This window comes from Homo sapiens, chromosome 10 (genome assembly GCF_000001405.40).
Source record: "Homo sapiens chromosome 10, GRCh38.p14 Primary Assembly".
Taxonomy (NCBI): domain Eukaryota; kingdom Metazoa; phylum Chordata; class Mammalia; order Primates; family Hominidae; genus Homo; species Homo sapiens.
The window spans coordinates 79,277,158-79,295,426 of record NC_000010.11 but is presented as its reverse complement, the minus strand read 5'-3'; the positions used below and the strand labels follow the sequence as shown (position 1 = coordinate 79,295,426).

The 18,269-nt window shown below is 55.3% G+C and overlaps 1 protein-coding gene across 12 annotated transcripts in view, besides 17 other annotated features; it reads right to left on the bottom strand.

Annotated features, from left to right (window-relative positions):
- ZMIZ1 (zinc finger MIZ-type containing 1) overlaps positions 1 to 18,269 on the bottom strand; it is a 247,554-nt gene that overhangs the window by 21,093 nt on the left and 208,192 nt on the right. For 6 of the 12 annotated variants that reach the window (XM_047425538.1, XM_005269988.4, XM_006717925.4 and 3 more), the window contains 5 exons: positions 18,102 to 18,246; positions 5,538 to 5,652; positions 4,251 to 4,468; positions 3,071 to 3,269; positions 1,774 to 2,064 (listed from right to left, as the gene is read on the bottom strand). In XM_047425538.1, coding sequence (XP_047281494.1) covers positions 1,774 to 2,064; positions 3,071 to 3,269; positions 4,251 to 4,468; positions 5,538 to 5,652; positions 18,102 to 18,246 — 968 coding nt within the window. The remainder of the gene's footprint in view (positions 1 to 1,773; positions 2,065 to 3,070; positions 3,270 to 4,250; positions 4,469 to 5,537; positions 5,653 to 18,101; positions 18,247 to 18,269) is intronic. The other 6 variants (XM_047425539.1, NM_020338.4, XM_047425542.1 and 3 more) reach the window with 1 other exon arrangement.
- Positions 795 to 1,625: a transcriptional cis regulatory region, noted in NCBI's record as "chr10:81053559-81054389 region (GRCh37/hg19 assembly coordinates) targeted for CRISPR interference". NCBI's record gives its function as "negatively regulates PPIF gene expression in GM12878 lymphoblastoid cells {active_cell/tissue: GM12878}" and the evidence as "EXISTENCE:mutant phenotype evidence [ECO:0000015][PMID:33828297]".
- Positions 795 to 1,671: a biological region, named in NCBI's record as "CRISPRi-FlowFISH-validated PPIF regulatory elements GRCh37_chr10:81053513-81054274 and GRCh37_chr10:81053559-81054389". NCBI's record gives its function as "regulatory_interactions: PPIF".
- Positions 910 to 1,671: a transcriptional cis regulatory region, noted in NCBI's record as "chr10:81053513-81054274 region (GRCh37/hg19 assembly coordinates) targeted for CRISPR interference". NCBI's record gives its function as "negatively regulates PPIF gene expression in LPS-stimulated THP-1 monocytic cells {active_cell/tissue: THP-1(+LPS for 4hr)}" and the evidence as "EXISTENCE:mutant phenotype evidence [ECO:0000015][PMID:33828297]".
- Positions 2,279 to 2,338: a silencer, noted in NCBI's record as "silent region_2538". NCBI's record gives its function as "represses an Ori minimal core promoter by ATAC-STARR-seq in GM12878 lymphoblastoid cells {active_cell/tissue: GM12878}" and the evidence as "EXISTENCE:reporter gene assay evidence [ECO:0000049][PMID:35858748]".
- Positions 8,155 to 8,805: an enhancer, noted in NCBI's record as "H3K4me1 hESC enhancer chr10:81046379-81047029 (GRCh37/hg19 assembly coordinates)". NCBI's record gives its function as "activates a minimal SCP1, AML or CMV promoter by ChIP-STARR-seq in naive H9 embryonic stem cells {active_cell/tissue: H9 hESC(naive)}" and the evidence as "EXISTENCE:reporter gene assay evidence [ECO:0000049][PMID:30033119]".
- Positions 8,155 to 9,456: a biological region, named in NCBI's record as "H3K4me1 hESC enhancers GRCh37_chr10:81046379-81047029 and GRCh37_chr10:81045728-81046378". NCBI's record gives its function as "regulatory_interactions: PPIF".
- Positions 8,584 to 9,084: a transcriptional cis regulatory region, noted in NCBI's record as "chr10:81046100-81046600 region (GRCh37/hg19 assembly coordinates) targeted for CRISPR interference". NCBI's record gives its function as "positively regulates PPIF gene expression in LPS-stimulated THP-1 monocytic cells {active_cell/tissue: THP-1(+LPS for 4hr)}" and the evidence as "EXISTENCE:mutant phenotype evidence [ECO:0000015][PMID:33828297]".
- Positions 8,593 to 9,093: a transcriptional cis regulatory region, noted in NCBI's record as "chr10:81046091-81046591 region (GRCh37/hg19 assembly coordinates) targeted for CRISPR interference". NCBI's record gives its function as "positively regulates PPIF gene expression in THP-1 monocytic cells {active_cell/tissue: THP-1}" and the evidence as "EXISTENCE:mutant phenotype evidence [ECO:0000015][PMID:33828297]".
- Positions 8,609 to 9,109: a transcriptional cis regulatory region, noted in NCBI's record as "chr10:81046075-81046575 region (GRCh37/hg19 assembly coordinates) targeted for CRISPR interference". NCBI's record gives its function as "positively regulates PPIF gene expression in GM12878 lymphoblastoid cells {active_cell/tissue: GM12878}" and the evidence as "EXISTENCE:mutant phenotype evidence [ECO:0000015][PMID:33828297]".
- Positions 8,640 to 9,259: an enhancer, noted in NCBI's record as "active region_3641". NCBI's record gives its function as "activates an Ori minimal core promoter by ATAC-STARR-seq in GM12878 lymphoblastoid cells {active_cell/tissue: GM12878}" and the evidence as "EXISTENCE:reporter gene assay evidence [ECO:0000049][PMID:35858748]".
- Positions 8,707 to 9,207: a transcriptional cis regulatory region, noted in NCBI's record as "chr10:81045977-81046477 region (GRCh37/hg19 assembly coordinates) targeted for CRISPR interference". NCBI's record gives its function as "positively regulates PPIF gene expression in anti-CD40- and anti-IgM-stimulated BJAB lymphoma cells {active_cell/tissue: BJAB(+anti-IgM and anti-CD40 for 4hr)}" and the evidence as "EXISTENCE:mutant phenotype evidence [ECO:0000015][PMID:33828297]".
- Positions 8,806 to 9,456: an enhancer, noted in NCBI's record as "H3K4me1 hESC enhancer chr10:81045728-81046378 (GRCh37/hg19 assembly coordinates)". NCBI's record gives its function as "activates a minimal SCP1, AML or CMV promoter by ChIP-STARR-seq in naive H9 embryonic stem cells {active_cell/tissue: H9 hESC(naive)}" and the evidence as "EXISTENCE:reporter gene assay evidence [ECO:0000049][PMID:30033119]".
- Positions 9,670 to 9,859: an enhancer, noted in NCBI's record as "active region_3640". NCBI's record gives its function as "activates an Ori minimal core promoter by ATAC-STARR-seq in GM12878 lymphoblastoid cells {active_cell/tissue: GM12878}" and the evidence as "EXISTENCE:reporter gene assay evidence [ECO:0000049][PMID:35858748]".
- Positions 9,670 to 10,195: a biological region, named in NCBI's record as "CRISPRi-FlowFISH-validated PPIF regulatory element GRCh37_chr10:81044989-81045489". NCBI's record gives its function as "regulatory_interactions: PPIF".
- Positions 9,695 to 10,195: a transcriptional cis regulatory region, noted in NCBI's record as "chr10:81044989-81045489 region (GRCh37/hg19 assembly coordinates) targeted for CRISPR interference". NCBI's record gives its function as "positively regulates PPIF gene expression in GM12878 lymphoblastoid cells {active_cell/tissue: GM12878}" and the evidence as "EXISTENCE:mutant phenotype evidence [ECO:0000015][PMID:33828297]".
- Positions 10,310 to 10,429: an enhancer, noted in NCBI's record as "active region_3639". NCBI's record gives its function as "activates an Ori minimal core promoter by ATAC-STARR-seq in GM12878 lymphoblastoid cells {active_cell/tissue: GM12878}" and the evidence as "EXISTENCE:reporter gene assay evidence [ECO:0000049][PMID:35858748]".
- Positions 15,572 to 15,741: a silencer, noted in NCBI's record as "fragment chr10:81039443-81039612 (GRCh37/hg19 assembly coordinates)". NCBI's record gives its function as "represses an EF-1alpha promoter that drives an FKBP-Casp9 reporter gene in an ReSE screen in phorbol 12-myristate 13-acetate-treated (for megakaryocytic differentiation) K562 erythroleukemia cells {active_cell/tissue: K562(+PMA)}" and the evidence as "EXISTENCE:reporter gene assay evidence [ECO:0000049][PMID:32094911]".

The window sequence follows — 18,269 nt, the reverse complement described above, 5'->3', positions numbered from 1 at the left end:
TCTTCCAGACAGGATCAGGCCGCATAGGCTGTGACCACCCAGTGCTGTAGCTGGGTAGCAGCAGCACTCTATGAAAAGGATGATTAATTTAGTAAAAATATGGAGAGCCTTTGGTGTGCTCTCTTTAGGCAGGCAAGAGCCATAAGCATGGCACAGGTGCAGGTGCAGGGGTGACACCAATGACCAGGAATTCTGCTGAAGCCTCATCCGAGATTGCCTCCTTTGGCGTGGGCTAACAGATGCACCCCCAGCACAGCCAGTGGGACACTGGGATTTTGAGCACAGGGTGGCTGAGAAAAGGCCTAGAAACTGCATGGGGCCTGAGTGCCAGGAGAGGTGCCAATAGCTTGAGGCTCCCCCAAACTCAGGACCCAGGAGCCAATGGTCCTTCTCTGGCCCCTCCCTGAACTAGTGTCCACCAGGTGGAGGGTTGGGGCTTGATCCAGCTTCTTGGATGCATGAGGAAGCCCCTGACCCCCCCCCCTCTCTCTCCCCTCCTGAACTCAGAATACCTCCACTTGTTGCCAAGCCTCCCCGCCCATCCTAAGGTGGATACTGAGGGGAAATGTGCAGATCTTCAAGGAACTTAAGGTCTTTGGAATCTAAAGCCGCTGTGAACCCAAGGTGAAGGCCACAGAGCTGAGAGGAGCTAGGAGGAGAAAACTGCTCTGAGAGTGGGCATGCAAGCTGGGAGGGAGGCAGGCAGAGAGCTGGGCACACCCTGCTCAAAAAGGGGCTTGGTCGTGGGGAGCAACCAGGGCTTCACGAGGGGCATCTGCAGAGCCACGTCCCTACGTCTTCTGCAGGTAAACTAAATCCTTACCTGGGTACCCAGATGGGCCAGCTGCTGCCAGCATCATTTTCTGAGGATTTACTTGTGACACACCCTCCAGGAAGCCTGCCTTCTCTGACTCATATTGAGTTCTGTGCAGTCTGCTATGCTTCATTCCCTGGTGAGTCTCTGCTAAAAACTTTTCTTTCCTGCTAAAACCTCACTTCCCAGAGGGCAGGAGGTGTGGGTTTTACTTCCCCAAATCTTCCCCAACACCTTGGCTGAGCTGGCTGTGCAGCCCAAGAGGCAGTGCCACTTCCTATACAGTGACCAAGTGTGGATGGAAACAAGAGCTAAGAAACACGCTGTCTGCCTTCCAGTCACTTCCCTGACGGGTCAGTCCTTATAGACTGGAAACAGCTGCCGGCCTTCCAGTCACTTCCCCAACGGGTCAGTCCTTATAGATTGGAAACACGCTCTCTGCCTTCCAGTCACTTCCCCAACAGGTCAATCCTTACAGACTGGAAACACGCTGCCTGCCTTCCAGTCACTTCCCGGACGGGTCAGCCCTTATAGACTGGAAGCATTTTGTCTCAGCTCTCTTTCTTGGAGAGGAGTTGGGGAAGCTCTCATGTGGGCAGGAGGAACTAAACCCAGGTCACCCAGTTAGTGGCTGAGCCAAGACAAGAGTCACTACAGTAAGAGGAACTGCTGCTTGCTGAGTGGCGGCACATGCCAGCCCAGGGCCAAGCACTTCACGGACACCTCCTCAAGTCCCTCAAGCAGCCCTAGGAGGCAGGGTGACTGGCTCGAGGTCTTTCAGTTGGGAAACAGCAGAACCAGGTCTCAAACCCAGGAGCACCTGACCCCTAAGCCCCTGCCTCTTTGTCCAAGTGTGCTGGAGTCCAAGCCACACCCCTTCCAAAGCCGTACCCACGGCCCATGTCTTCAAGCCCAGGTGTCCCAGTTCCCACCTCCCAGGCTCCCACTGCTGCACTCACCTCTCCAGGGTATGGCCTCTTTATGTTCTGAATAGGAAGGGACTGGGGCCGGGGGCCCGGGTAGGTCTGCTGGGGCATCCGCTGCCCGTGTGTGCCAAAGGGGCTGATGCCGGGCGGCCGGGGCTGGTTCATGCCCATGGGAGGGCCGCTCATCCCCGAGGGCGTCATGCCAGCCGCCATGCTCGCGGGGTTCATGCTGCCCCCCATGGAGGCAGGCCCCCGCGGCCCGGGCTGGTTCATGAATTGGCTGTTATACGCCTGGGTGGGACCCATCTGGAAAGAGGAACAGACCTTCAACGGGAGAAGAAAAAAAAAAGAATAAAATGCCACATGCATTGAAAGTGCAGGGAGGGAAGGGTTGGGGAGGTGGAGGAGTGGGGAGGGGGCACTGTCCTGTGCGGCAGTGACTGGTGACCAACCAGGCCCCAGGGGAGCAGGATCCACCCAGGCTCACTGCTGCCCTCTGCAGCCGCACAGGAGAGATGCAGCTCAGGGGTGTTAGGGGATGGGGTGGGGTGGGGTGAGGTGGTCACTCCGATGCACAGGCAGCATTTCCAGGGAGGGAGGCAGGCAGAAAACCAGGAAAGTGTGCAGGGACAGGGAGGGGTATGGGAGGGTGGAGGTAGATGAGGGTGGAGGCAGGAGCCCGAGTGAGACTGCAGCCCCTTTCCTGGAAGCCCTGGCCCTGCCCTTGGTCCTGGGCCAGTGGAGGCACACCCTCCATCCCCAAAGTTGGCCTCAGCCCAGCTTCCACTTCTGCCCCTCTGCCCTGCAGTTCCCACCTCCTCACCTCCTGTTCTGCATTCCTATGGGGGCTCCCCTCTCCTCATCCCCTAACCCATCCTTCAGAAGGTCAGGGAGCAGCACTGGGGCCTGCGCAGACCCACAGATAGGGTGACTAGGAGGGCACTGGTCTCAGAGGCAATCCAGGAGACAGACCGGTCACAAGACTATTTTTAGACATTGAGCCCACTCCTTGGTGAGTTGGGGGCCCAGAGAGCCATGTAGAACCTTTTCCCCATATGCAGTTGTACATGAGCCACCAACACACAGAACAAACACCAGCACCCATACACCCCACCACACCCAAGCACACTGACACGCCCCATTCTAGACATGCGCCATTCTAAACACACAGACCTCCACATGCTTCCATGAAAGCCCAAATGCACCCTAATGCAGTCAGCTCTCCCAGCACACATGGCCCCATAAGCACTGACATCCCAACTCTGGTTTCCCAGGGCTGTCTGCCTGGCTGGCTGGGCAAGGCTGGACCAGGATTAGTGGGAACCCTTACCGGTCCATACTGGTTTATATCCTTGTTCTGTGTCTCCTGCAGGGCTGCCACAGTGGCCGTGGCTGTGGCTGTAGCTGTGGCTGCTGCTGCTGCCACTGCCGCTGCTGCAGCGGCTGCCGCGGGCTGAGTGAAGTCAGCAGGCGGCCTGGTGTGCGGAGGGATGCCCATGCCTGCGGGGGCGTTAGGACCCCCAGGGTAACTGCAGGGGGAGAAGGGTGGAAGAGTTAGGTACTGCCTGCATCTGAGGGGAACTGAGGGCAAGCTGTGGGCTGGAAGGGAGATGATGGAGCTGTACCCAGAACCTAGAGGGGACGGGGCCTCTTGGGATTGGCAGCCATTCATTTGTGCCACTTGGCAACGACCAGGCTGCTGTGCTCCTGGAGCCCTTGGGGGTGCCTGCACCCTCACTGCATGCTGTCGGGGCCCTGGTGAGCCCATCTTCTGAAGGACACTGAGTCTCAGAGAACCTGAGCAACTTGCCCAAGGCCCTGCAGCATTGATGGCGGAGCTGCGGCTGCAGCTGCAGGTGTTTCTGATCCCTGTGTTTAACCACCAGGTCATATAGCTGTGCCAACCCCAGGCCAGAAACCCAGCCAGGGCTGGTGAGGGCTGAGGCCAAGGTGGGGGTCTTAGGCAGGGCGGGGTGGAAAGAGGAGAATGGGCACCTCTGCTCGCCTCACACCACTCCCCAGAGCTCCATATCCTGGGAGTCCCTGCCCTTTTCTTCCCAGCCAAGGGACTCGCAGTCTCTGCATAGTTCTGCTTTCACCAATCAGCAAGGCAGAGCAGATATTCCCAGACTGCTTCACTGTCTTTGGGCAACTGGACCCCATCTATACCTGCTCTTCGACTTTCCCAATCCAGATTTTCTCAATATTTTCCTATTCATTAAAGACAAAATTTAGAGAAGGGTTGTTTTGAGGTTTTGAGGAGTAAGAATGTCACCTCTCTATTTCTACGAGTCTGACGACTGTCAGAACACAGGCCAACTGCTGCAGCGCCTTATCTGCAGGCCAGCCCTGGGAGCCAGGGATGACTGAGCCCCTTCAACTCATGTAACAACAGAGGATAACTTCTCAGGGCAGAAAGCGTGGAGCTGGGATTTAAGTGGGTCCCTCCCCACTGGAAGGAGGAAGAGGGGTGGCGTCCATGGCTTCTGCCACAGGTCAGCCCTGCTCACCTGGCCCCAAAGCCCCCGCTGCCGGGGTAGTTGGGCCGGCCATACATGCTCTGCTGGATGTAGGGCTGAGCGGGGCCAGCCTTGGCTGAGAACTGCTGCTGCTGCCCCGCAAACTGTGGGGAGTTGAGGCCTGGGTTGCTGGTGGTCATGCCCGACGCCATGGGGTTGCCGCCTGGATTCATGGGGTTGTTGGCATTGGCCATAGGGTTCCCAAGGACCTGTGGGCAGAGAAGTGGTTGTCACCTAAGGTGCTACCCGAGGCAGTGTGGAGAGGAAGAGGGATAAATGAAGAGGGGAAAGGGAGAAAGAACAAAGTGGAGGCAGGACAACAGGGAGGAGGAAAAAAATGGAGGGTGGATGAACTATTCTGAGTGTACCGGTGATAAGGAGCGGGCCTGGGCGGCAGGTGGCGTGGGGGATGAGAACGTCAGCCTTGTGATGGAACAAGCTGAGGGTATGACCAAGCCCCACAAAGCCAGTTCAAGCGGTCCCCAGGGGCTGCGCAGCCCAGTGAAGGGAGAAGAGGCTGCTCTTGTACCAGGTACCCGTGGGGAGAGCCCTGGCCATGAAGCCTACTGCCCCACAAACGAGCCTGGATGCCAGCGTCTTGTCACACAGGGGCCCCAAGGCCCCTGGCTGCTGCTCTGTGAGGGCCAAGAGGAACCCACCCTGCTAGCTCTGGAGGGCAGCAGGAGCAGGCGACAACCGGTCAGCCCAGTGGCTCCCTCCAGGGTGACAAGCAGCCCTGAGCCTTCCATGTAGCCACAGAAAAGGCTGGCAGAGGTCAGACAGGTGGGAGACTCCCTGACTGGGCAGAGGAGGAGTGGAAGAGAGAGGAAGGAATGAGAGGGAGGTGGGTCTGACTAGGGCAATGGGGAGTAGGGAGTTGTCAGAAGTCCAAGGCACAATATTTTGATGAAATCCAACTCAGGCCATACATCCAGGGTCAGAGACCTCAGACCTTGGAGCCCTGAAGCCAGTAACACAGAGGAAGTTCTCCTGTTTACCAGAGCAAATGGGCTAGGGAAGAACCCCTTGCTGTCTGTCAGATGAATGCCATTCCTCCAGAAAGGCCTTAGGATGGGGACAGTCCATAGAGGCTGCCCTCCTGAGGCGGGTGCAGAGCCTGCCAGGGGTGGAGACGTGTCCACAGCTGGGTGTGCCCTGGAAGCTGGTCTTTCCAGCAGGGCAAGGCCTGTGAGGGTGAAGAGGGCTGGTATGGCTCCAGGGGTCAAGGGACACTCCCGCCTAGAAAGAGCTGTGGCTGAGGGCAGTATAGGCTCTTACCTGGCTCTGGGATGTGTTGGTTACTCCCCAAACCGTGGTGACCACGGAAAGGGAGCCGGGAGGCTGGTTGGTGTTCTGCTGCCAAGGGACAGAGTCATAGGGGAACGACCCATCACTGCAGAGGGAGACAGAGGGAGATCTTCAGGGCCTGGCAGGCACAGACTCAAGACAGGCCATGCCCATCACCCCACCAAGTGACCGCAGCTCCCAGTCAGTCCAAGGTAACCCCCATCCGAGTCGGTACTGGACCCCCCAGGCCTGTCTCAGTGCCCAGTGCACAACAGTGTGCCCTGCATGGTGACAGGCTGTTCAGAAGTGGCCACCTTTCCCCCGATCACTGCAGAGAGCTACTTCCATGGCTGTGTGTCTCCCTGTATCCCCGAGTCCACAGGTCATGCAACTGATGAAGTGGTGTGACCTGAGGCCCAATCTGAGCTCCTCCTTCACCCGGGCTCTGACTCCACGTTGCCCTTTAGGAAGAGCCTGGGCTCCCCCAAACCACCTTACCCTTGGAACTGCTTGGTCCCTTCTCAGTACAGGCTGGAAGGGTCCGAGTCTGAGGGTGTCAGCCCTTCCCTCTACCTCCCAGCCCTTCACAGCAGCCTGGCTGCCTGGGCCATGGGAATGCAGGCTTTCTTCCGGCACCCTTCCTTCCCAGCCCCCAGCAATGTGGGTACAGGCCTACCTGCTGCACACCCTCTCCTGCCCCCACCCCGATCTCTCATGTACATTTTCCCCAAGCTAATCTCCCTCAAACACCTAAGATGCCTGGCACAATCAAAGACCTTTGGTGGCTTCCAGCATTTATAAGGCAGAGTCCAAACACACACTTAAGAATGACTTACTCCTCTGGCGGACCCCACCATTCCCTCACCCCGCTTTGGCTCTGTCCTCTCGTGGAGCTGCCCCTGCCCCTAAACACTGCCTCCTCTCTACCAACCCGGACCATATTTCCCCTCCTCCCCTCACCAGGTCCAGCAGTACCCACCACGTTTGTGGACATCTCCCCAAGGAGCTCTCACGTATCAGAAGCAAGGAGTTAGCCTTCAGCCCCACCTCTTGTGCTTAGGTCTACAGTGAGTGTCCAGTGATGCTTCCTACCGACTGCTGGGGTGCACAAGAGTGAGGCCAGCAGATCCCAGCGAAGGGGCAGGGCATGAAGACCTGCCAGGGTGCCAGCCCCCAGGAGGCTGGGGATGAAGCTGCCTCTCCCACCAGAGCCGGCACTGGCTCTCTGGCACCACCCCCTCACCAAGTCACAAAATTCTAGATGTGGAACCAGGAAGAGCAGAAAAGCAAAGCGCCCACAGCTGTGCCACTGCCTCTACCCAGGGCACAGGGTGTGTGTGTGTGTATGTGTGTGTGCGTATGTGTGTTGGGGGAGGGAAATTGGGAGAAGGGCCGGGCAACAGGAAAGAGCCTCATGCCTCTGTCTGGCTTGTGTCTGTCTTAGTCACAGGAGACAGCAAATGGCAAAGGTTCTCAGTCACACCTGGCAGACTTGTACCCTAGCTGAGTGGCCAGTCCAACCCTAGCAGCCAGGGCAACTGGGGATGGAGGTGCTGAGGAGGCACCTCTGGGGATGCAAGGAGCCCAGCCCAGAGGTGAGGACTTCCCAGAGGGAGGCGGAGGGCTGCATGACCCGCAGGCAGCGGAGATCAGGGCAGCCAAGTCTTGTGCTCTGTGCCTTGCCCGGCTGAGCTCTTGGCAATGCTGGTCAAGTCTGACGGGCTCCTGCAGAGGCGACCAGCCTGGAGGGCAGGACCACACCACTGTCTGCTCATACTTGCCCCTCCCCTGCCTGGATACCCTCTGCCCTAGATTTCTCAGCCTGGCCAGCCCCTCGCTTTCTTCCTGTCTGAGATCGCTGGAGGGGCCTCCCCCGCCCTCCTCGTATAAAAAAGCAGCTCCTACCCGACACTGCCTGCCCCCTCACCCTGGCACTGGAATTTTTTTCATAGCACTCCACCACTGTCCTAATTATATATTTTTTTGATTATTGTCTGTCTGCCTCTAGAACAGCTCTGTGACGGCAGAGACTTTTGTGCTTAGGACCCTGGTGCAAGTTTCCTCACTCAATCTCCTCATCTGTAAAATGGGCATCAGATGATACCTCCCCACTCTACTCTGTGTTTTCCAACTGTGGGTTACAGAATCTGAGCAGGTGATGACATCCAACCAGCAGGGGAGAAAAAAGCATCAACTAGAAAGTGATGGAGTGTGAGCACACAATAAAGATGAAGATTAGTCCTTGAGCTTCTGTCTTGGTTTTATACACAAATACATGTGCACCTTGGGTCAAGGTGTCGTATGTGTATTTATCGTGGATCTTGGTCAAATAGGTTTGAACACAGGTTCAGCAGCCTAAATCTGATGTGGCTCAAAGAGGAGAATGCAGTCAAAGGGCTTTCCCAACTGAGCGCTGCTCGTGATTTCTGGGGAAACTGCAGGACTCGCATTTGGAGTAGAGGAGCTGTACTCAGGGCACTCAGTTGGCCAGGCACAATGATGGGTAGTGGCTTGTTGAAGATCCAGATGCTTGGGCCAAAGGTGACAGATAGCGACAGACTCTGCTCTCCAGGTGGCGGATTGGAGACTGGGAGCCCAGAGGGAGTGGGCAGTGCAGAGAAACACAGGAAAGTAGCCATGAGCCTGCTCCTCAGGAAGGCTGGGCTGGAACAGCCTCTGTCTCCCAGGGAGGTCACTGGGGACCCGGCACACCACCTGGTTCCAGACTGGCACACCAGAGTCTCACAGGGAGGCTCTACAGGTCACGCTTTTACAAAACAAAGAGGAGATCCCCTGGACACCTGCTGTCCTCAAGGCCCATGTCCTAGGTGTGCTGGATGACCAGAGGGGGTCCCCTACATCTGAACAAAACCCAAGCCTGAGTGGCTTCTCGCCCCAGAACTTCTGCCCCACAAGTTCCCACCAACCCTCCAGGCTGATGGCCTTGAGACGGAAGTTCCTATCCTTTGAGAACATGCCTGGCCAGGCTCAGGAAATGAACCCCCATGGGAGGCCCCAGGGGCCGGCAGGGCCCTGCCTGTGGCCAGGGAGTGGGCAACTGCTGCCTCATCACCTCAGCCCAGGACGCTACACAGGCCCACGAACAAGCTCCCAACTGCCCTGCAGCTCCGTGGGTGAGCCTTGTGGGCGGAAACCAGCTCCTTCCTGTTTTGTCCCCTCTGCCCCAAACTTGGTGAGAAGCAAAGCTAACCAACGTTCCCAAACTGGCCATCCCACTGCCTGGCTGGAAGGTTTGCCGCCCCAGAGCAAAGATGCACGCAGGCATATGGAGGACACATCCGTGCACACACGCGAGGCCCTGCTGGCATGCTGCCCGTGCACTGGGGAAGAGACAGGCACAGCGTGTGGGGCAGTCTCAGGACTAGCTTGCCTCCACACGCACCTGCTGCAGAAGCAGAAGTGGCAGCCGCACCGACAGGACCGTGACTCATCTCATTCTGGGGGAGACGGGCTCCTGCTGTCGCAGAGAAGGCTCTCGCCCCCGCAGGCCCCCACAGCAGCCCTGCTGATGTGACGCCACTGCCTAGACTCAAGATACCACCACCGGGGGAATGCCTGGTCCCTGTTCCCAAGGATGAAGGACCAAGCAGACCCCTGGGCTGCTACCAGAAAGGCATGGCCTGGCTGGGATGGGAGGAGGGTCTGGAGGGTGCCTGAGAGCCCTTCTTCTCTCCGACGAGCACAGTTTAACCTGCAGACTTGCTTCACCTGGTCACAGGTGCTTGGCATTTTTTAATAATTCTGTCCCACTCTGTACAACCCTAATCCAGCATGGCCTGCCCAGTATCACACCATAAGCTGCTCCCAGCCACAGTCCTGTCCAGCCAAAACGGCCCCAACAATCCTGCTCCACCCACAGAAGCACCAAGGCCAGAAGCCATCTGCAATGTCAGCAGCAACGGTTCCATTTGCCAACTGCTCCCTAATACAGGGGCCTCTGTGCCTCTTCTCAGGCTGGCAAGTTCCATCCCACCTTGAAAATGCCATTCATCCTTTCCAGGCTCTTCCAAAGGCCACCTCCTCCGGGAAGCCCTTGCAGAAGGTACTGAACTCCACTGGCTCTTCGCATTCCTGGCAAGAGTGAGAACCCTCTGCCTTCTCCCTTCTGCCTCAGGAGCTGTCACTGATTTCTTGGGCTCCCTGAGCCAAGCATGATGTCTTCACACACCAATAGGGCTCAGGAAACCTTTGCTAAACAAAAAAATGTGCCAGGGAGAAACCACCTCTCTGCACTCACCCTTGGAGTGATGCTGAAAATGAATATGTCCATTTCGTTAAGCCTGATGACCGACCACCTACACAGTGTGTCTGTGGCCACATGGCCACTGGGGCCCAGAAAGTGAGAGAAGGACACAGAGGGAAGCGATGAAACCACTGCTCACTCTCTGTATGCCTCAGCAACCTCATCTATGAAATGGGGCTGATTCAGCCCCTCCCTTCGAAGGCTGCCGTGAGGGTTAAGTGTAAGTGCCTAACATGTATGAGGCCCAGAGTCCCGCACACCTTGGACACCCTGAAACTGCTGGCTGCCGCTGTTACTGTTGTTCTGATTTACTGAGTGACTTCTAGATGCAAGGAATTTTGTGAAGTGGCCTTCACCTAAGAACTCATTCAGTGCCCCATTAAGTGGGCCCAACAGATGCCCATCTTAGAAGCTGGGGCTCACAGAGGTAGCAGAGCCAATCAAGGGCAAGGCTGCCGGGTCACCAGACCGTATCAGGCTCACCACTGTCTTAGGAACTTAGGATCCAGCAAGGCAACGCTCCCCTCTCCAGAGATGGCCACGAGGCAAGGGAGCACACTGCAGAGGCCACCTAGAAGCCACAAGAATTCCAAGAAGGGCTGCATCTTCCTGGGGGTTCTTGGGGAAGTCGCCTAGCACGAAGGGACAGGGGAAATGTAAAGATGGGCCTCAAAGCCCAGCTGCAGAGAAAACCCAAATAGTCTTCCAGGAAAGAATTTCTTTATACACTAAATCGTCTGCTTTAGCTTGTACTGGCCGTGTTGGCAAAGATTCAGGGACCCCTTTTTGAGGTTAATATTCAGCCGACAGAGGGAGGCCCAGCAGGAGAGAGGTTCCCTATGTGGGCTCTGGAGTTACAGTCTTCCGGGTCAAACCCTGGCTCTGCCACTGAAGCTTTCTGTGGCCTTGGACATGTTACTTTCAGTCAGCCTCAACTTTCTCATCTGTAAAGTGGGACTAACACTTTCCTAAGAAACATGAGAAAAAAGTAAAGTTTAGCACAGAACCTGGTAGAAAGACCCTGCTCAACTGTACTTACACCTTTCTCTCCAGTCCTCCAACCAGCCATACACAGCTACCCCTGTTTACTTCAGGATACAATGAAAGTGGCCTAGGAATTTTTCAAATATGCTACCAATGGGAGGAGCCGTTTTCATTCCTACCTGTCAACTAGAAAAAATGTGCTTCTCAAGCCTCTGAGACTTTCTTCATTTTTCTTCTGCCTTCCCTTCACCAGCCAGCAAACTTCTATCCATACTTCAAAGCCCAGCCTGCATACTCCCTTTAAGGACCCTCCTAAGCAGAACCAAGGACACTTTCCTCTGTTCCCTCAGCACTTTTTTCACGTATTTTATAGAGAGCTCTCTGCACTGCAGTCACAGTAGACAGTTTACATGTCTGTGCCAGCTCCACGGGCAATGATCGAGGTTTTGCTGAATGTGAGAAAATGAGCAAGGCCTGGGATAAGGCAGTGATGATTCCTGGCTCCTGTGCACCCGCTATGGCAGCATCTACACACACATTCATGAAAGGAACGCGGGGGGAGGGCTGAGTTATTTCTTCCCTTGCACTTGTAATAGCTGCTTTATTTGGGAGAAATAACCAATTTCCATTAAGGGTATTGTCAGACTCTAATTAATTTCCCTGATCCAGCCATACTGGTCCCGTCTCCGTGCAAGGCTGTAGTGTTACTGCTAATGAAATGCCAAGCCAGTGAGGAGCTGAAGCTCCCACCCTGTTTAATTTAGGGGAACCATTAACAGTGTTCTCCATCATCACAATTACTGGGGCCTACTTCCTTCCCTCCCTGCGGTGAAACTTAGGAACTTGTGCAGCTAACTGCATATTAGAGGGTGTTAAAACTTTTTCAGTAGGAAGGAGGAAAGGAAAAAATCCTTTGCATCTTGGCCATCTGGAACTGATGGTGCAGGGATTTATGGGTCTTTCAATTCTCCCCTTTCCTTCTTTTTTTGTTTTTAAAATGTTCTTGGGGCAACAAAGCCCTAACATAAACTGAGCTTTGGTGAAGCTATGCAAAACCGAGCTAAAAATGGCAGCTGTGGAGATGGTGTGATGTGGCTGGTTTTGATTGCCCCCTTCTTTCTTGTTTGGCCATGAATAAGCACTTAAGAATTTGATGGCACCTGGCTGAGGATCAGGGGAATAATGACTGGTCCATGGGCTCCCAGTGTGCCAGGCTTGGCGACAAGCACACCACTCCTGCCACTGTTGTCACTCCCCTTCTACAGATGAGGAAACCGAGGCACAAGGAGGGTAAGTAACTGGCCAGTTACCCAGCTAGAATATGGCCCAGCTGAAACTCAAGGCCCAGCAGCCTGGCTCCAGGGCCTGTTCCCCGACCTGCTATACTCAGGGGATGCCAGGGGCCCTCCCGCCCAGAAGCCTCTCTGTTGGGGTTCATAAATCCCGCACCTATAAGAAGGAGGAAGGCACCTCTCAATCTTGGAGGCTTCCCCAGCCCTAGCGAGTTTTGACTGTAATCAAATTAACAGCATAAACAAGATTTATTAGGCCTTTAATTACCTTTGCAACACTGATCTGCATAAGGACAATGTGCTAATCACAAATGGCTTTTTAAACCACTCATTAAAAATCTGGAAGAAGGAGGTTGAAAGACTTCACTGGCTTCAAGTCCAGGTCACTGCAGGGACTTGGAAGGTGCCCTACTTGCCCAGGCACTGGTCCTGGACCTTGCCAGGCCTCTCTGGCCACCTTCTCTTGTATAGTATCCTGGGTATCTGTGAGTATAGACGGCAGCCCCACTGCAGCCAGTGATGAGGACAAAACAGGGAGTGAGCCTACAGACGTCCACAAACTGAGGATAATTAGTATTCCTCGTCACCACCCTTACCCCCAGATATAGCTGCGGGGCTATGGCAGCCTGACCCTTTCCTGACATCCTGCTCATGCGGCACCATGTCCCCCATCAGCAGGGAACCACGAGGCCAAGAGGTCAAGGGTCTTGCTGGGAGGCACAGCATTTGTGTGGAAGAAAGCAGGCCCTGACTCACAGCCTCATGCCGCAGTGCCAAAGCTCTGCAGCCTGCAGCAGACATGATTGTGACACCCGAGCTCTCCAAATATGACAGTCACCAGGGACCCTCCAGGCGTCTGCCGTCCCTCGGGGCAGGGCGGGGCTGCAAGTGTCCAGGCTCCCTCATCCTCTCCCATTTGTTCGTCCTCAGAGCCTTCAGACAAAGACCCAGAGCCTTCAAACAGCCAGATACCTGCGGGCATCAAATCTCAACTGTCCCAGCTCACCCAAGCTCACCTCCAGCTCAATGTCGCCTTAATGAAAAGGCAAAAAGAGCTTCCTGCCTCCAAGCCATTCAATAAAATTATGGAGGATGACGGACTAAAACAGTTTGCTAATTGTGAAAGCGCTCAGCTTTCTCTTCCATTTTCTTTCCGTCTTGTTTGGGAAATTGCACTGAGGACTTATGAGGTGTTGGACCCCGTTGCAGTTTCCCTGGAAATGAGGGATTTATCCTTTGTGAAATTCCTAAAGGTTGCAAGGAGAGACTGTGTAACTTTCAATTGCCTAACCACAACGTGTCCTCAGAATAGCCTGGGGCTTGGAGAAGGAACACGGGCTATTAAATGGGAAAAAGGTGAGCTGTGGATCAGAACAGATGACCCTCTTCTAAAAAGACCCTCCAAATTGGGTTAACAACGAGATACCACCTCGTTGACCCTGAAGGACCAGCTAAATAGCACAGCCCTGTGCGCTGTTTAATATCTTCCTCTGCCCTTTACTGGCTGTGTGTTCTGGGGCAATTCACTTTCCTACTCTGGGCCCAATTTTCCTTCCAGTTCTGCCATTCAAAGTGTGGGATGTTGTCTAGCAGGCCCTCCACCTCCCTGTGCTCCCACGAGGAAGCCTCGCTCCACGGAACCGACTGGTTAGCCACCAGTACTCAGCGAGTCTTCCAGCCCACACAGCTTTCCTTTCTCTGACAGACCACTTATGGCCCAAAGAGTAAGTGCCAGCCTGGTCTTCAAGCTCTCAGACCACTGGCTTTGCATTCTAGGTCATTCTGCTGGACTTACAGAGAGCTGAGGCCATGGTGATGGAGGCAGCAGGGCACTGGGTGCTGGCCAGTGGCTCTTCGGCCCATAACATTTCTTGGGAAAGCCAGCTTGAATTCATAGAATGCAACTACCCCTCCCAGCCGAAGTCCTTCAAGTTCAAGACTCCCATCCTCTGGGCAGCCTCCTGACAGTCAGCCCTGTCCATCTTCCTCCATCTGAACCCCAAAGCCCAGTCTGCCTGTCAATGAACCCTAGTCCTGCCCTGCTCTGCCAGATTCCAACGTGGCCCCAGTGAGTCTTATTTCCCCAACTAGCTTGAGGCTGCTCCTCGAGCACAGAAATACCTCATCTCTGTTTAACCCCGGGACCGAACAACCTCATGCCTTAGCTCAACTCAGCTGGCAAAGGGCTGGCCGAGATCCAGATTTGTGGCACTCTGTGACCTGAACAATCACGGTCAAGCAGGTCTGAGGCTGGTCCCTAGTGGGGAGCTGCAGGGCTCTGGCCCACCATAAGCAACAACTTTACTAAAATAACTTGGAGGAGAGAAGCTTGGGAAGGTCATGACACATAGGATGATGAGAGGAGGATGATTCTGGAGGGATGGACGGCTGAGTTAGAATTAATAAGGTAAAGCTTCCCGAGGGCAACTGCAAGGTATGCTGCTTAAGTGAAATGCAGCTGCAGCCTGTGCTCAGCGGCTTGGTTCAGATGAAGACAAACTGTGGCTTTTAGCAAAGGGTACACAGAGGGAGGTGGAGGCAGGTTTTGTCTTTTTAGAGCAGCGGTCCTTAACCAAAGGTGAGACTCAAATGTGGGAGGGTACTTTTATTGTGATAATGCTTAGGGGAAGAGGGCAGTCATCAGAAGAATGGGGTGGGATTAACCAAGCGTGGGCATTAAAAAAAAAAAAAAAGAACAGAGTGGGTAGGGACCAAGACGCCAAATGCCCTGCAAAGTCCTGCACCAAGAAAAATTACCCCTGTGTCAGACAGGTGTAGTGGTGCATGCCTGTAATCCCAGCACGTTGGGAGGCCAAGGTGGTAGGATTGTTTGAGCCCAGGAGTTCGAAACCAGCCTGGGCAACATAGCGAGACCCTATCTCCACAAAACTATAAAGAAATAGCCAGGTGTAGTGGTGCATGGCTATGCTTCCAGCTACTCAGGATACTGAGGTGGGAGAATCGCTTGAGCCAAGGAGGTCGAGGCTGCAGTGAGCTATGATAGTGCCACTGCATTCCAGCTTGTCCAACAGGGTGAGACCCTGTCTTTTAAAAATAATAATAGGCCGGCATGGTGGTTCATGCCTATAATCCCAGTACTTTGGGAGGCTGAGGCAGGCAGATTCCTTGAGCTTAGGAGTTCGAGACCAGCCTGGGCAATGCCATCTCTACTAAAAATACAAAAAATTAGCCATGGGTGGTGGTGAATGCCTGTGGTCCCAGCTACTTGGAAGGCTGAGATGGGAGGATCACTTGAGCCCAGGGGCGGAGCTTGCAGTCAGCCGAGATTGCGCCACTGTACTACAGCCTGGGTGACAGAACCAGATCTTGTCCAAAAAAAAAAAAAAAGTAATAATAATACCCCTCTCCCTCCCCCTCTCCCCTTTGCACGGTCTCTCCCTCTGATACCTAGCCGAGGCTGGACTGTACTGCCGCCATCTCGGCTCACTGCAACCTCCCTGCCTGATTCTCCTGCCTCAGCCTGCCGAGTGCCTGGGATTGCAGGCGCGTGCCACCATGCCTGACTGGTTTTCCTATTTTTTGGTGGAGACGGGGTTTCGCCGTGTTGGCCAGGCTGGTCTCCAGCTCCTGACCGTGAGTGATCTGCCAGCCTCAGCCTCCCAAGGTGCCGGATTGCAGACGGAGTCTCGCTCACTCAGTGCTCAATGTTGCCCAGGCTGGAGTGCAGTGGCGTGATCTCGGCTCGCTACAATCTCCACCTCCCAGCTGCCTGCCTTGGCCTCCCAAAGTGCCGAGATTGCAGCCTCTGCCCAGCCGCCACCCTGTCTAGGAAGTGAGGAGCGTCTCTGCCTGGCCGCCCATCATCTGGGATGTGAGGAGCCCCTCTGCCCGGCCGCCCAGTCTGGGAAGTGAGGAGCGCCTCTTCCCGGCTGACATCCCGTCTAGGAAGTGAGGAGCGTCTCTGCCCAGCTGCCCATCGTCTGGGATGTGGGGAGCGCCTCTGCCCCGCCACCCCGTCTGAGATGTGAAGAGCACCTCTGCCCGGCCGCGACCCCGTCTGGGAACTGAGGAGTGTCTCTGCCCCGCCACCACCCCATCTGGGAGGTGAGGAGCGTCTCTGACCGGCCGCCCAGTCTGAGAAGTGAGGAGCCCCACCGCCCGGCAGCCGCCCCGTCCGGGAAGTGAGGAGCCCCTCCCCCTGGCAGCTGCCCCGTCCGGGAGGTCGGGGGCAGCCCCCGTCCGGCCAGCCGCCCCGTCCGGGAGGTGGGGGGCAGCCCCTGTCCGGCCAGCTGCCCCGTCCTGGAGGTGGGGGGCAGCCCCCGCCCGGCCGCCGCCCCGTCTGGGACGTGGGTGGCGCCTCTGCCCGGCCACCCCGTCTGGGAAGTGAGGAGCCCCTCTGCCCCGCCACCACCCTGTCTGGGAGGTGTACCCAACAGCTCATTGAGAACGGGCCATGATGATGATGGTGGTTTTGTCGAATAGAAAAGGGGGAAATGTGGGGAAAAGAAAGAGAGATCAGATTGTTACTGTGTCTGTGTAGAAAGAAGTAGACATAGGAGACTCCATTTTGTTCTGTACTAAGAAAAATTCTTCTGCCTTGGGATGCTGTTAATCTATAACCTTACCCCCAACCCCGTGCTCTCTGAAACATGTGCTGTGTCCACTAAGGGTTAAATGGATTAAGGGCGGTGCAAGATGTGCTTTGTTAAACAGATGCTTGAAGGCAGCATGCTCGTTAAGAGTCATCACCACTCCCTAATCTCAAGTACCCAGGGACACAAACACTGCGGAGGGCGGCAGGACCCTCTGCCTAGGAAAACCAGAGACCTTTGTTCACGTGTTTATCTGCTGACCTTCCCTGCACTATTGTCCTATGACCCTGCCAAATCCCCCTCTCCGAGAAACACCCAAGAATGATCAATAAATACTAAAAAAAATTAAAAAAAAGAATTAAAATAATAATAATAATAAATAATAATAATAAAAAGAAAAACTACCCTGTGTAAATGCACTAAGGAACACTGCTACAGAAGAGAAGCTTGGAGCTGCTCAGCAGCCAGACCCAGGATCTGAGGAGGCAGTGCCCTTGGGTGGTGGTGGGCTTGCGATGGTACAAAGGGCTTATGACCAAGGCAGGCAACCACATGTCAGGGGCAATCAGGCCCAGGGAGGGCACTGGACATGATGAGCACTAAGGTCCTTTCCAGCTCAGAAAGTCAACAAGCCTCTAATTCGATTTATAAAGCGTGGCTGACACCCGAGTTCCCAGCAGCACCTCGATGGTGCGACCCAGGTCTGCCTGCAGTGTGCTCTGGGCTGCGGGTCCCTCAGTCAGGCTGGATAATGAGAGCCGAGCTCTGACTGCAAATGACCCTCCTGATCATTAGCGGAGACACACACAGGGGAGAGCAGACAGCATGACAGGCCCTGTTGTTGCAGGGTCAGCCTGCAGAGCGCTCAGAGAGAGCATCCCCAGCTCAGCAAGGGACTCAAAAGATAATTAACTGGGGGAATTGCCAGTCCTGGCCACGTGCTCCTTCTGAGGCTGGCACAGGTGGACTGGACAATCCCTCGGTGCTGTCGGCCTCCAGCAAGCCCATGCCTGCCTGTGACCCTGGGCTTCTGGTGGACCCAGCCCAGTCTTACTTGGCTCCAGGGTGGCTGGCCTGGGCTGGCTCTGTCCCCATCTTGGCTGGAACCACCAACCCCGTGGCCTTCCTGAGATCCCTGTCAGCCCCTGGTTTCTCTGGGTTTGCCCAATACCCTGGTCAAGAAAGAGGGAAGGTGCTGAGCTCAGAATTTCTAACGTTCTGCCAGAAGCCTAGAACCTGAAGAAAAACAGCCTCCACCAAAGTGACAAACTCAGTGCTTTCAACCTGTTTGAGAGGGAGAAACAGGGCTCACCCACGAAGATGTAAAAAAACAACTGCACCTTAGAAAATGCAACATCCTCATGGTTGCACAGAGGCCCCCACCCCAGGGACATGTCCAAGGAGATCTGAGACCAGAGGGGTGTCTGCTCAGTACCTGCACCCATGGCACCCACCCACTTACCTGTGCGACAGAGTGGGTTTCATGGAGCTCATGGAGCTGAGAGGGGGCTGCATGGGGAGTTTCCCAGGGGGATCGCTCTGGCGGCTCTTCTGATGTCGGAGCAGCAGCAGGCGGCCGAGCTCTTCGCACCAGGAGGACAACAAGGCTGCAGGAAGGACAGGACAGTCA